The sequence below is a fragment of the Homo sapiens genome, chromosome 17 (genome assembly GCF_000001405.40).
Source record: "Homo sapiens chromosome 17, GRCh38.p14 Primary Assembly".
NCBI lineage: Eukaryota > Metazoa > Chordata > Mammalia > Primates > Hominidae > Homo > Homo sapiens.
Window position 1 is genome coordinate 60145394 of NC_000017.11, and position 14496 is coordinate 60159889.

The following is a 14496-nucleotide window of genomic DNA, read 5'->3' on the forward strand; positions in this document are numbered from 1 at the left end:
GGGGCCAGAAGTTTCTGCCAACTCCTGTACCAAAAAGGCTCCTGTCCTTCCCTAGTGACAGTCTCCAGCTCTCTCTGCCGGCCCCCTCCCTCCCCTCCCTCCCCTCCCCCAGATTCTCTGCACAGTCCAGAGAAATAGGGCAGGCATAGAGGGTGGGAAGAGGGCACGCAGCCTCCACAGGTGCTGGCAGGAAAGGAGTTTTTTCGTCTTTGCTGGAATACAGCAGAGATCCAGGCTGGGGAGAGGTGGAGCCCAGGCTATTGACTAACCCTTCTTTTGTGTGGATTTAATCTCACTCTCTGGGAACACAAAAGCTGGAATCTCTGCAAACCTTTCCCTGAATAATCTGCGAGTCAGCGGAGAATCTGCGGGTGAGGAAAGCCAGGGCAGATGGAGGCTGGGACTCCCAGCGGGAGGGAAGTATGTGGTGTTGGGAGGAGGTGAGATGGCACAGAAAGAGCACTGGGAAGTGGAGCAGGAGACCAAAGTTCTAATCCCACCTGTACTCCTCTCTCCTTGCTGTGAATTTGGGCAAACCACTGCCCTCTCTGAGCCGCAGCTTCCTCTTCTGTAACTCATAGAAGTAACAGAGGATCCCTACCTGCTTCTGGGGTCGAGTGACCCTCTCTGAGAATGTTCCCCAGTCTATAAAATTAAGATCTTGATATCTATCCCGCACCAAAGGAAAGATCAGTCCAACCTTCCAATCCTAACAGACAAGCCCTGTCTGGTCCCAAACCCCTCTCCAGCCTCACCTCCATGCCTTTTCTCATTCTGTTTCCTTCACCTGCATCTCCCTTCCCTTTTTAAGTTAAAGTCTACTTTTCTTTGAAGACTCAGTGCGGGTCTGATCTCTTGAGGGAGGCTTCCCCAGTCTCTTTCCTACAGGCTGGGTTAGGGGCTGCTCCTCTGGGCTCCTGTGCTGTTCTGGGCATAAGGCCACTGTGGCCTTAACAACTAAGAATTACAGCTGAGGTTTACTGAGCACTCAGTAAGTGTCCAGACAGGCCCTTCACCCAGCATTACCTTGTGGAATTTTAACCACGCTCTTGTGAAGGTATTGCTGGTTTTCTTTTTTTCTTTTTTTTTTTTTCTTTTTGAGATAGAGTCTTGCTCTATTGCCCAGGCTGGAGTGCAGTGACACAATCTCAGCTCACTACAACCTCTGCCTCCTGGGTTCAAGTGATTCTCCTGCCTCCACTTCCCATGTAGCTGGGATTACAGGCACCCGCCACCACACCTGGCTAATTTTTGTGTTTTTAGTGAGACGGGGGTTTCTCCATCTTGGCCAGGCTGGTCTCGAACTCCTGACCTCAAGTGATCTGCCCACCTCGGCCTCCCAAAGTGTTGAGATTACAGGCATGAGCCACTGTGCCCGGCAGCTGCTGTTTTTATTTCTGCTGTGTTTTTTGTTATTTTGGTTTTTTTTTAAAATCATGGTCGAAGGCTGGTGATTTTCCTGATCAGGACACTGAGCCTGACGGGGGTGAAAGCTGAGTGTCGGGTCTGGGATGTAGACCCCGGGCAGTGTGGCTCCTACTCCTATTCTGACCCTCTGCCTGATATTCTCTCTGCCCTCCTGCGACGCTGAGCATAAGGTATGATAGGTTTCTGTTTAGGGCAATGTATTTGACCTTCCCCTGAGCTGTGAACCCAGGGGTGCAGGGTCTCAGCTCCCTTTGTGCCTCCACTCCATGGCTCTCACAGTTCCAGCGGGAGCTGCATCTGAACCTCATGTTCCCAGGTTTACAGTCAGGGCTCTCCTCCTTGCCCTTGGGAGCCCAGGAAGAGCCTGGATGTGCCAGGGCCCCTCTCCAGTGCTAACTCAATGTTCCATCCCACCCAATGCTGCCTCCACACCTGCCTAGGGTCAGATTTAATCCAGCTAAGGGGACTCTGCTTAGAGGTCATGGCCACATGTGCCAATGTGCCAAGCCGTGGGCCCAGCCTCCTCAGACTTTAGCTCACTGAGGCCTCAGGGCAATCTTTGAGAGAGATTGGGGGATGATTTCCATTTCATAGATGAGGAAAACTGAGGCTCAGCTGCCATCACAGAGCAAGTGGATGGAGCCAGAAGTGACTCCAGGGTTATGTGTCTCAAAGCCCCTTAGCTTTCCCATGGCCTCCCTTCTGTTCCTGACAGGGCCATGCGTGCAAACATCCCCAGAGGACAAGAGTGTGATTAATCTTTGCATCCGCCATGGGCCAGTGGCTACACCCAGGCACTGAGAGGCCGGTTGTGAGAGTCTGGGCTGGGCAGGCCCTGGTTCACAGCAGACTCCAAATAACTGTTTATTGGTGGAGGTCAGCCGGGCAGGGATTACCATCTCCAGTTTATAGATGAGGAAGTTGCAATCAGCCGGGTGCAGGAAAGTTGCCCAAGGTCATCCGTGAGTCAGAAGAAGAGCAAAGACTTGAACTCAGAACACTGGGGGCCTCTGCAGAGTAAGAGGAAGGAGGCTGGGGCTGCTGGGCTGGGCTCTCCCACTCAGGTGGCCTGGGCTGGCAGCTTTATGGGCCCTGTAAGTCGCTGGGACATGTCAGCACTCATTCCAGCTCTAACGACCCTAAATCAGGCCTTGTCCCCTACAGGTAAGCAGGGCCCCAGGTAGTCTAAATAGTGACAGGTGACTGGTTTATGGCAGGCCAGGACTGGGGTCAGGGCTGGAGATAAGGCTGAGAATGTTAAGACCAGGAACAGGAAGAGAGGGCCACTCACCCTGTGTAACCTTGAAGTTAGAGATGGCAGATGGAGCAGGAACCAGTCCACCACCCCATCGCCAATGTGCAGGCTCTGTGGTGCCCATAATTAAGATGCACCCATAAGAGAGTGTATAGCTTTACCCCTCCCGCATTCCTCAGAGGGGATGCCCTACCAGGGACTCGTTCTCCTCACCCATCTTTATGGTCCCAAAATGCACCCAGGGCCCCCCTCTCTCCTGGGGGGCCTGAATGCAATGAACTTTAAAGTGGATCATTGATCAACAGTCCCTTAACCCCACCAAAGTTTCCCAAGCCTCTCCCCTGCTCATCAGGGGGCTGGCCAGAGGTCACAGGGACTCCCTGGGGGTGGTTTTTATTCCCAGGAACAGGCTTCCTCAGTCCTGAAAGGGACATTTTTATAGCCCTGTGAACACAAATGCACTCCCCAGAATAGGCTCTGGGTGTGGAATCCCTCCTGTGGCTGTCATGGTCGCAGGCTGGTGATTACATTATACAGTGGTGTTGACAATAGAGCCCTAAGCCTGGCATGGACACCCCCTCACCTCCCTCCTGCCTCTCTGTAGGATCAAAGCTGCTCTGTGAGGCTGTGTGATCCTGGGCCAGGAGCGGGGAGTCAGCCTCAACCCTAAGCAAGGAGGAAGCATCTTTGCCTGAATCCTTCTGGGGGAGGCAATCCCCCTTCAGAAGTCCCTAGCCCAGGTTCGAAGGTCGGTAGGGACTGAGAGGTTGGCAGCGGATGGGGAGTGGCTAAACCAGAAAAAGGGGGCTTCCTGTTGATGGATTGATGGAGGAGGTCCAGGTCCACTGCCTGGTTCCCCGTCCCTCTCCCGCACCCCAGCCTGAGCTTCCCAAACTCCCACAGAAGCCCCCACCCCATGTGGGACACAGAGGACCTGCAGTAGCAGGAGGGCACAGCTAAGAGAGGAGACAAGAGGCAGCTTGGGGGCATGGGGGGGACCCCATTTCCCCAAATGTTGGAGCCGCCCTTAAGGGAACTTCCCCTGGACTCCTCTGGAGGTCTTGCCAGATGGGAGAACCAGGGGTCCATTCAGACCCCAGTCTCTTCTCTTCCCATCTCATCTCTCCACCTGGGGGGCTCAAAGAACCTAGCTCCTCCCCTTTGACCCCATCAGCTTCTCCCTCACCGAATCCTCTTACAATCCATTTCTTAATTCTGCCCCATCAACCCTCCCTGGTCATCACATAAACACCAGCAAGGGCAGTAGTTTAGGGACAGCTTTGCTCTGTATTCGAAGAAAGGTCTTTGGTCTGCTTAGAAATTAAGTTTGGAGCAGCCTGGGAGGAAATAGAAGAGATGAGACCCAGAGAATCAATGGCCACTGCCAAAGAGAGATAGGAGAGCCTTTCTGCGGCCACTGATTCAACAAACGGCATCACACGCCCCTCAGCCTCTCATCTCTTCGAGGCCATCTCCACCCCCACCCCCACCCCCACCCCAAGGCCATTCCAAGGTCCCATTCAAGACCACTGCGCAGGGGTGGCGCCAGAATGATCAAAGTCATCATGGGGCACTCATCTTTGTGTGGGTCAAGCACTTTGTGGTGTCGTGTCCCTGTTCCCAAACCAGGGACCAGGAGTAGGATGGGGGAGGGGCAGGGCGCCGCTGCTGAGTGGAGAGGACGCGGAGTGGGTGAGGGGGCCTTGCGCACAGGGCAAGAGGTGGCCAGGCAGGGCGGGGGACCGGGGAGAGCGGAGGATTTCAGATGAGGGACAGGGGAAGGTGGAGAGGGGAGGGCAGGCCCCGCCAGGGGGAGGAGCCGCCTCCCGCGTCCAGCTGTCGGGGCTCCCTCCCGTCGCGGCTCCGCTATAAAACCCAGGCCGGCAGGATCGCTGCACCCGCGGCGGCCTCCTCGGTGCGCGACCCCCGGCTCAGAGGACTCTTTGCTGTCCCGCAAGATGCGGATGCTGCTGGCGCTCCTGGCCCTCTCCGCGGCGCGGCCATCGGCCAGTGCAGGTGAGCTCCCGGGCTCCGGCCCCAGGTGCCCCTCGGCGGTCCCCTCCGTGCCCCCAGCTCCCGCCCCTGCAGAGGATCCCCCCGCGGGCGACCGGTGAGCGTCGGTGGCGCTGGGGTCCCGGGTTGCGTGTGCGCCGGGGGCCGCGAGGGTGCGGGAGGACTGGGCAGCGCGCGAGCTTGTGTGTGCACACGCGTGTCAGCACCGGCTGGGGGAGCGTGTGCACGGGTGTGCGCGGTGAGGGTGTGTGCGCGTGGCCCGGCGAGACGAGTTGGGAGTCCCTGATAAGGATGCGTCTCAGGCCGGGCGCGGGTGCTCCAGCCTGAAATGCCAGCACGTTGGGAGGCAGAGGCGGGTGGATCACCTGAGCCCAGGAGTTCGAGACCAGCATGGCCAACATGGTGAAATCCCATCTCTACCAAAAATACAAACATTAGCCGGACGTGGTGGCACACGCCTGTAATCCCAGCTACTCGGGAGGCTGAGGCCCGAGAATCGCTTGAACCCAGGAGGTGGAGGTTGCAGTGAGATCACGCCACTGCACTCCAGCCTGGTGCTCCGTTTAAAAAAAAAAAAAAAAAAAAAAAAAAAAAAAAAAAAGGATGCTTCTCGGACCCGCCTCAACGCACGCCTTCTTTTCTCACCCAGCCTCCTCCGTCTGCCCGTGGGTTTCCGTCCGTCCCGCTGGGACTCAGCGCTGGGTGACTGCCCCGCGGCCAGAGCAAGGGCGGTCTGGCAGGGTCCTGGAAGCCGCGCTTCCCACACGGGTTCCTTGCCCCTGAGGGTCGCAAGCTCCCCTGGCCTCCCTAACCTCCAGCGCTGAATTGGGAGCCTGGCGGGGGCGGGGGGTGGGGGACCCGGAGCCCCAAGGCCTCTGCGGAGCCGGTCTTTCCGGACAGGGTGATTTTCGTTTAAAGATTAATGGTGAAGCCGAGCTCTTAATTATTCCTCTAGGTGGGAGGTGGCAGGAAAGGCATGTTAATATTTGATAAGAAGCTAAAGGCGCTTCAAGCGGCTGGGCACAGGGATCCGATCCTGGAGGCACCTTCTTTGCAACCCCAGACCCCATCACCGGAAGACCCCCTCTGCCAGTTCTCAGCCCAACCACCCCTCGGATGGTTCTTGGGGTCCACGCAGGCTGAAACCTCCTCTCCCAAGTTAGGTGCTCCATCCTCAAAGCGGCGGAGTGAGGGGTGAAGGTGTCCTCTGCACAGAGAGGAGCCAGCGTGTGCCCTTTGCAGCAGGGACTGGCTGAGCTGTCTTAGAGGGTCGAGGGGCACCTTGCAGCCTCTCCACCGGGCCCCTGGGAGAAGAAAGAGAAAAAGCAGAATGTGGAAACTTTTATTTGTAGGGTTGGACATTGGAAACCTACTAAGCAGCTAGAAAGTAGAAAGAGAAATGCTTTGCAGTTCTGGTGCTTTGTAGCTGTGTGGTCTTGGGTAAGTCACTTCCTGTCCCATTTGCAAAACAGGTGTTGTCATTCTGACTTCAGGGGTTTTAAGCGTTTGAATAAGATAATGGGTTTAAGTGATTAGTGCGGTGCCTGTGTGGCACGTGGCTGGTGTGTCATATACCAAGTTTATGGGGCTCTCCCCCAAGCCTGGGGCCAGTGTCAGGAATGTGTCTCAGCTCACCCCTCACACAAGCTGCTATCCCCTTTAGTGCCAAGGCTTTCTGACTGGGACCTGCCTTCCATTCATCTTATGGAGGACTCAAGCTGAGAAGGGACCAGGTTGCATATGGCGACCCCCAGAGCATCTCTGTCCATTGAGACAAGAGGCCGGGTGAGGATATTTGGTCCCCTTCAGAGCCCCAGACCCCTGGCCGGGAGCGACTGAGACTTTGCCCAGGAAACACTTGGGTTGTGCTGAGCTGTTTTTCAGGATTATCCCCTGTCCCTCAGAGGGGGAGGTGGGGTGAGCAAGGTCCATTAGAGAGGCTTCTTCAGCCATCTTGAAATAAGGGGGAGGGGTGGCAGGTCAGTCAGTGTGGGGGGCAGTAGCTGGGTGACAGGCGACTGACTTTCGGTCTCTAACCTCTGGTCAGGGTGGATGGACTAGGTAGGATGTGGCGCTGGACACCGAGACCTCTGGGTAGGTAGCCCCTCTCCTTCCCAAGCCCTCTTGGGAGTGGCCTGAGTCAGTGGGCTGGTACTTACCTGCAAGGGTGGCCCTCTCATTCAACGAAGACAGGAACCTGAGTGGTGGGTGCTCCTGCCACCAGCACCCCACCCTCATCCACCGACATGGACCTGACCCCTGGCCTTGACCTCACCACCATTATGTTTTCCTGGCTGCTGCTTCCTGAAGAAGGTAGTTACAAGTGCGTTCAGCCAAGCAGGTCAAAAGTCTCCATGATTAAGACAGTGGATCACAGGTCACCACTACAAACCTAGGAGCTGCGGCCAGAGCCAGGGAAGACCAAATTCCTAAGAAAAGCTAAGCCTGGACCAGATGGGCCCCAGGGAGGCTGTGAGGCGAGTTACAGGGGGCTCCACCCTTTGCAGCTGGCTCTTGGGGATGCTGGCTGAAGGGAGGCTTCTCCTGGAATGGCTGCCCCCGGGCCCTCCAGTCAGAGAAGAGGCCAGCCCAATCTTCAAAACCCCTTCCTCCTTCAAGACCTCTGCGGGTGGGGACATGGGATGATTATGGCAAGGAACTGTCATGGTGCAAATGCCCTCTGATTTATTATCTCCTTAGTCACCAGCACTGGGAATTTGGTGGCTGCACCTGTCAGAGGCGTTTGAACCAGAGTGACTCCATTTTGGGTGAGAGCTAGGAAAATGAGGCCGAGATTTGCTGGGCTGCATTATCAGAAAGTCAGGCATTTCTAGCCTCTAGATGTTTGCAGTTAAGGGAACAAATTAATAATATTTACTACACAGACCCAGACTTGGGAAGGTCCAGATACTCCGATATCTGGAGAGCAAAGGCATTCCTAATTTTGCTTTAAAAATAATAATGTTGGCTGGGCACGGTGGCTCACACCTGTAATCCCAGCACTTTGGGAGGCCGAGGCGGGTGGATCATTTGAGGTCAGGAGTTCGAGACCAGCCTGGTCAACATGGTGAAACCCTGTCTCTACTAAAAATACAAAGATTAGCTGGGCATGGTGGTACATGCCTGTAATCCCAGTTACTCAGGAGGCTGAGGCAGGAGAATTGCTTGAAACTGGGAAGTGGAGGTTGCAGTGAGCCAAGAGCCCACCACTGCCCTCCAGCCTGGGCAACAGAGCGAGACTCTATCTCAATAATAATAATAATATCAATTCTTGGATAATGTAGTAATTAAGAAAATTAATCCTTTATCACAAACCCTTGTAGCAGAGCACATGTCCCCATATATACAACGCATTGAATGCATTCCTTCCTTCTCTGACTTTTGGGAATGTCCTACTCTGTCTATGGAGTAGCTGTCCTTTCACCACTGTACTTTCTTAATAAACGTGCTTTTCCTTTGCACTGCAGACTCAACCTGAATTCTCTCTTGTGCAAGATCCAAGAACCCTCTCTTGGGGTCTGGATCGGGACCCCTTTCCTGTAACATGCCTTCTGTCAGAGGAAGATTATGGGACTCAGAATGTCAGATAACTCCCCTGTGGAGACTGAGCAAAGGCAGAGCGGGAGCTGGAGGCTTCGGAGCTCTGCCCCACTGCTGGGGTGGCGAGTGGCCACTGCCCTCTGCAGAATCCACCCACATGGGGGTGGTTCAGGTGCAGCAACTCCCAGGGACAGCAGAGCCCTGCCCGGGGCTGGGGATGGGCCATCAGGGGGAGGACACTGCAGCTCTGAAAAAGGCGATGCCAGCAGGGAAGGAGAGGCAGTGATCAGGGCAGGGAAACTCCAAAGCCCAAAGCAGCTCTTCGTGGCCAGTTAGTTTTCCTGGGGATGCTCCCTCATGGCTCCTTCCCCATCCTGTCCCCACTCCGGGGACTCTACCCTGGCTTAGACTACAAGAAGATGGGACTGTGGGGGCAGCCCAGGCAAGAAGGGAGAGGGTGGATGAGCTCAGAGACCTCAGCTTTGGCTGAGTGGGAACCGTGCTTTTCTTAGGAATTTCCTCATCTTGATTTCTTTCCAAGTCACTTCATTTCTCTCCTCTCTCGGCCCCTCCTTGGCTTTGGCCATCTGCTCCCAAAAGGAGGCCATGGGGTGGGTGGGAGGGGTGGGGGGGAGGGAAGGAGTTGTCGATGGGATTTTACTAAGTGCCAAGCCGCCTGAAACCTCATTTAATCCTCCCCAAGGCCCTATGAGGTGGGTATGTTTGTCTCATGTTACAGATGATACAACTGAGGCTCAGAGAGCTTAAGGGACTTGCCCCCAAACCCATCTAAGCCCCCTGAGCGGCTCAGCCAGAATTCCAAGCTCTGGATGAGATGTTGTGTTCGCCCTGCTGGTGCAGCCTTTTAAAAAAATTAATAGACTTTATTTTTAGAGCAATTTTAGGCTCACATAAAAATTCAGCAGGAAGTACAGAGGGTTCCCATAGGCCCTTCTGCCCTGCATGCACTTTCCCCTCTTATTAACATCTTGCATCCATGTGGGACATTTGAGGTGCAGCCTTTTTTTCAGAGATGCTGGGTTCTATTGCCCTGAGGCAGAGCCCTCAGCCTGTCCCCAGAGATCAGGACTGTGCGGTTGAGGGGCAGGGGAGGAAGCCTGGCTGCTTTCCTCCTAGCGGGAGCTGTGAGACGCTAGCCAAGAAGGGATCTTAGTAACACAGGGTGAGACATTCTGGGGAGGGGCCGCCTAATCTCCTCCCTCATCTTGGATCTGGGAAGGCTGCCCGGTTGAACCTGACTCTATTGTCCCAGGAGCGGAGGCTGGGCCAAGTCCTCCTCTTCTCCTCTCACCAGCCTCTTTTCCAGGTTTGGGGTGGGGGAGGTAAGCGCGGAGGAGGCTGCTGGTGACCAAAGGATGGAGTATCCAAGCCAGCCCCATGTTAGAGATGAGTGGCCTCAGAGGGCTTCCCTGGAGGGCCAGTGGCTGCTTGGCCTGGCCCTGCCTGGGGAACAGAGCCCTATGCCAGCTGACCTGTTGATCAGCCCCTGCTTGGTTTTCAATTGAGTCTCTTTTTCTGGGCCCTCAATCCTGCTGCCAGGAACACTCCATCCCAGCCCAAGAGGGGCTCCAACCCCAGGGGTAGGCCCAGCCTCTGATCCTCCTGTGTGTGTGAGCAACAAGACACACGCACGCACACTTCACACCCTTCCTCTCTGCTCCAGAGTCACACTGGTGCTACGAGGTTCAAGCCGAGTCCTCCAACTACCCCTGCTTGGGTGAGTACAGCCAGTCCAGGGGACTGCTCTTTGTGCATGGTGGGCACCACGCAAGCCGAAATGGAGACCCCGGAAGAGTGGGAAGGGGAGGGGTGATGGTGGCTTCCCAGGCAGATATCAGTTCCCAGCATACACACACACACACACACACACACACTCTCTCTCTCTCTCTCACACACACACACACACAGATATACAAACACACACACTCACACAGAAACACACACACAACACACACACAAGCACACACTCAAACACTCACACTCACACATGCACACACACACTCACACTCACACAAACCCACACTCACTCACACACACAAACACACACTCACACTCTCCTGTCCTGGTGCTCAGGGACCAGGGAGCATAGAGTGACCTGAGTCTTCACTGGCACCTGCTGTCATCGAGAGGGCATGTTCCCTGTGGAATAAATCGGTAGCAGCATTAAAGGAAGAAAGGCGTTTTGCTGTTTCCCATAATAAAACGGGGAGTTGTTTCTATCCCAGTGACACCCCTTGCAGGGTGCCTGAGTGATGGTCCTTTACGCTTTTATTTGAATGCTGACCAATTCGAATGCAAACCCTGCAGTCTGCTGTGTTTTGGTGACTGAGCAGTGCTGCCCGCTCCTGACCCTGGCCCACCTGGTGTTGGGGTCACCAGGGTTCGGGGAACCAGCTCCTCCAGGGTTACTCCTCTCCCTCCCATTCCTCAGATGATGCTCAGCGCCCTTCATCAGCAGCCCCCCCGGGGGTCCCACTCCACAGTTTCCAAAGCCCTCTCCATCCACCTCCTTTAAACTCTCTGACATCCCAGGGAAGCGGATTATCTCTGCAGTTCCCATTTTACATTTGGGAAACCCAGGGCTTGGAGAGGCCATGTGCACCACCTCATGAAGTTGTCCCTACCCCGGAGCTCACAGTCAACAGTTGGCAACCCTGTTCCCACCCTGTTCCACACTGGGGCTAGACTCCCCAGCCTTGCATGTATGTTTCTGTGGAGGAGGAGGAGGAGGGCCCAGGGAGGGCGAGAGTGGAGTTCGGAGCTGAGCATCCCTGCAGCACAGCCTTCAGGCCACCCCAAAGCGTTTCTGTGTGGGAACTGAGTGGGTGGGCCTGACTTCAGTGGGGTGGTGGGGGCTACACCTTGGTGCCAGGCACCCGACTCTCAGCCCACCTTCTCTCCCTGCTCAGTGCCAGTCAAGTGGGGTGGAAACTGCCAGAAGGACCGCCAGTCCCCCATCAACATCGTCACCACCAAGGCAAAGGTGGACAAAAAACTGGGACGCTTCTTCTTCTCTGGCTACGATAAGAAGCAAACGTGGACTGTCCAAAATAACGGGCACTCAGGTGGGCTGGATGGAGGCCCCAGGCAGGCCTGGGCACCCGAGTTCCCCAAGGACTGAGAGGATGGGGCTCCTCCCAGGAGGGTGTGCCAGACCCAGGCCCATCTGTGCTGTGAGGTGGCTGAAAATCCCATGGGGGAGGACAGCTTCCAGGAGGAGAGAGCACTCTAGTATGTTTTCGTTACTTTTGTCAGACCAGTCTGGGATGTGGGGGCAGGAAACGTTCCAGGAAGAAGGACATGTGCAAAGGCGCGGAGGCATGGAACAGCTCGGCGTGTTCAGAGGACTGCCAGGAGCTCTGTGTGGAGGAAGGACAGACAGTGAAGCCAGGCAGAGCCCAAGCAAGGCCCAGGGGCAGCTGGGCTGGGGCCCAAGGGCAGATCACCCAGGCCTGAGGAGTTTGGACATTACCCCGAGGACACCAGGGCACCACAGAGGAGGTGGACGCAGAGGAGGCACCAGGACAGAGCTGCAGTTTGGGGCAGTGGAGGGTGCAGGAGAGGGGGAGGCAGGCAGGGAGACCAAGGAGGAGGCCAGGGAAAGGTCCGGGGCTGTCCCACCCTGTCCCACCCCGCGCCACCCCTGCAGGCCAGAACCAGAGCTCATGAAGGTTGGGAGGCAGGAGACAATGTCCCATCTGGGTGAAGCTGGGATGAAGAGCTAGAGGAGGCTGAGGGAGGCTGGTTCGAGGACTCTGCCCCTTCTGTGCTCCCAGTGATGATGTTGCTGGAGAACAAGGCCAGCATTTCTGGAGGAGGACTGCCTGCCCCATACCAGGCCAAACAGTTGCACCTGCACTGGTCCGACTTGCCATATAAGGGCTCGGAGCACAGCCTCGATGGGGAGCACTTTGCCATGGAGGTGAGGGCCCCTTCCCGACTGGGACCTTGTCTGGGCTCTGGGCGCGCACCTGCCTTGGGCAAGGAGGGTAGTCCAGGCCCTTCATAGGTCCCCTTTTCACCCCTCCACCCCGACCAGATGCACATAGTACATGAGAAAGAGAAGGGGACATCGAGGAATGTGAAAGAGGCCCAGGACCCTGAAGACGAAATTGCGGTGCTGGCCTTTCTGGTGGAGGTGGGACTCCCATCCCCCACTTCCCGGGGAACCCGGGGCTGAGAGCTTCTTCTTAGGATTCAGAGACCTGGGACTCCAGCGAGGCAGGAGGGGGCGGGGAGACTCCAACTTCCGCCTCTGTTTCTGGGGTTGCATGTCCCCGGGCCAGGTGGGGAGCCCAGAGCCTCAATCCCAGAAGCTGCCTGGCCTTCCGCCCCCAGATCGGGAGAATGAACTGGCCACCACCACTGGCTCCCTGCAGACTTTCTCAAGACCCTTCCCTCCCTTTCCAGGCTGGAACCCAGGTGAACGAGGGCTTCCAGCCACTGGTGGAGGCACTGTCTAATATCCCCAAACCTGGTGAGTCAGGATGGGGGAGAAGGGCTTGGGGTGAGGGGGGGGATTCCTCCCACAAAGGAAGGGGTGGGTGTGCGGGGAGCTGGGCTCTCAGAGTGCAGGGGAAGAGGGGCTCCTTCTCCCACCCTCACTGACAGTGTCCTCTGCCCCTATCTCAGAGATGAGCACTACGATGGCAGAGAGCAGCCTGTTGGACCTGCTCCCCAAGGAGGAGAAACTGAGGCACTACTTCCGCTACCTGGGCTCACTCACCACACCGACCTGCGATGAGAAGGTCGTCTGGACTGTGTTCCGGGAGCCCATTCAGCTTCACAGAGAACAGGTGCACAGGGCCTGGGGCAGGGCATGGGCTCCCACTGCCTGGCTCCCCAGAAATTATCCCTCTGTCTGCCCTCAGAGGTCCCTCAGGATACAGGTGGGGAGCCCAGGTAACTGAAGTCCGTTGTTAATCATCGACATTCACTGAAGACAGGCAAGAAAAGCCTGAGCTGTTCCATCACCAGATTGGGGGCTAGACAGGAGGCAGGGGAAGGTGGAGTCATTCAGAAAATGGTGCTGGGGTTTCTATCATGAACGAGGCTCTGGGGAGACAGCAGTGAGCCCAAAGGACCCAAATCCCTACCCTTGCACTGCTTTCATTCCAAAACAGTGGTTCTCAAAGTGCGGCCCCTGGACCAGTGGAGTCAACATCATCACTGGGGGAATTTGTTAGAAATGCTAATCCTCAGAGCTACTGAATCAGGAACTCTGGGGGTGGAGCCCAGGCATCTGGGGCCCAACAAGCCCGCCCCCCAGCTGATGCTAACGCATGCTCAAGTTTGAGAGCCACAGTCCTGTAGTAAGAGTGACAAGAGAAGCAGGCATTGCGGGCCCCCTGGGGTGTGAGTGAAAGGAAGCCAATGGGCACTTAGCCTTCACCCATGCCACGCACCTCATTTACATCCCCTATTCTTATCATCTTCACGACCACCTTGAGAGCCAGGGGTTCAGAGCCCCTCTTTCCTAATGAGGGCTCCCAGGACAGGATGAGGTGCCTGCCTGAGGTCACACGGCAGGGAGTGCAGCTCCCCCTGCCCCGACCTGCTGAGCCCCATCACTTCCGCAGATCCTGGCATTCTCTCAGAAGCTGTACTACGACAAGGAACAGACAGTGAGCATGAAGGACAATGTCAGGCCCCTGCAGCAGCTGGGGCAGCGCACGGTGATAAAGTCCGGGGCCCCGGGTCGGCCGCTGCCCTGGGCCCTGCCTGCCCTGCTGGGCCCCATGCTGGCCTGCCTGCTGGCCGGCTTCCTGCGATGATGGCTCACTTCTGCACGCAGCCTCTCTGTTGCCTCAGCTCTCCAAGTTCCAGGCTTCCGGTCCTTAGCCTTCCCAGGTGGGACTTTAGGCATGATTAAAATATGGACATATTTTTGGAGAAACCTTTCTCAAGTGTGTTTTTAGCCTTCCACAACTACCCCACCCTGTCCCCCTCCACCCACCCCTGTTCCTCCTGTTCCAGGGCGGGGGCTTTAAGGCCAGGAGATTTCTCCCAAGCAGGTACCACCAGGTGTCCCCACTCCCGTTCTATGTGAATTCCGTGTCTATACCCCACTCCCTTCTACCAGGACCTGGACCTTGGAGAGATGCTGAAGGCATCTTGGAGCTTCATCACAGCGGAAGCTAGAGGAGTTCCAATCTGATCTCTTCATCATATAGAGGGGGAAACTGAGGCTGAGAAAGACAAGGTTGGGGCCGGGCATAGTGATTCACGCCTGTAATCCT

General features: G+C 56.2%; 1 protein-coding gene across 11 annotated transcripts in view, besides 2 other annotated features; it reads left to right on the top strand.

Moving 5' to 3' along the window:
- CA4 (carbonic anhydrase 4) overlaps positions 4580–14496 on the top strand; it is a 29049-nt gene continuing 19132 nt past the window's right edge. For 5 of the 11 annotated variants that reach the window (NR_137422.2, XM_047436653.1, XM_047436655.1 and 2 more), the window contains exons 1-8: positions 4580–4699; positions 9921–9974; positions 11167–11322; positions 12034–12179; positions 12297–12395; positions 12668–12734; positions 12890–13053; positions 13837–14107. Coding sequence is in view for 10 of the 11 variants with exons in the window: in XM_047436653.1 (XP_047292609.1) it covers positions 4642–4699; positions 9921–9974; positions 11167–11322; positions 12034–12179; positions 12297–12395; positions 12668–12734; positions 12890–13053; positions 13837–14031 (939 nt within the window). In the remaining variant the exon portion in view is untranslated. Of the gene's footprint in view, positions 4700–5371; positions 6137–9920; positions 9975–11166; positions 11323–12033; positions 12180–12296; positions 12396–12595; positions 12735–12889; positions 13054–13836; positions 14154–14496 lie in introns of those variants that run through there. The other 6 variants (XM_047436650.1, XM_047436652.1, XM_047436651.1 and 3 more) reach the window with 4 other exon arrangements.
- Positions 9751–10251: an enhancer, noted in NCBI's record as "H3K4me1 hESC enhancer chr17:58232505-58233005 (GRCh37/hg19 assembly coordinates)". NCBI's record gives its function as "activates a minimal SCP1, AML or CMV promoter by ChIP-STARR-seq in naive H9 embryonic stem cells {active_cell/tissue: H9 hESC(naive)}" and the evidence as "EXISTENCE:reporter gene assay evidence [ECO:0000049][PMID:30033119]".
- Positions 12395–13224: an enhancer, noted in NCBI's record as "H3K4me1 hESC enhancer chr17:58235149-58235978 (GRCh37/hg19 assembly coordinates)". NCBI's record gives its function as "activates a minimal SCP1, AML or CMV promoter by ChIP-STARR-seq in naive H9 embryonic stem cells {active_cell/tissue: H9 hESC(naive)}" and the evidence as "EXISTENCE:reporter gene assay evidence [ECO:0000049][PMID:30033119]".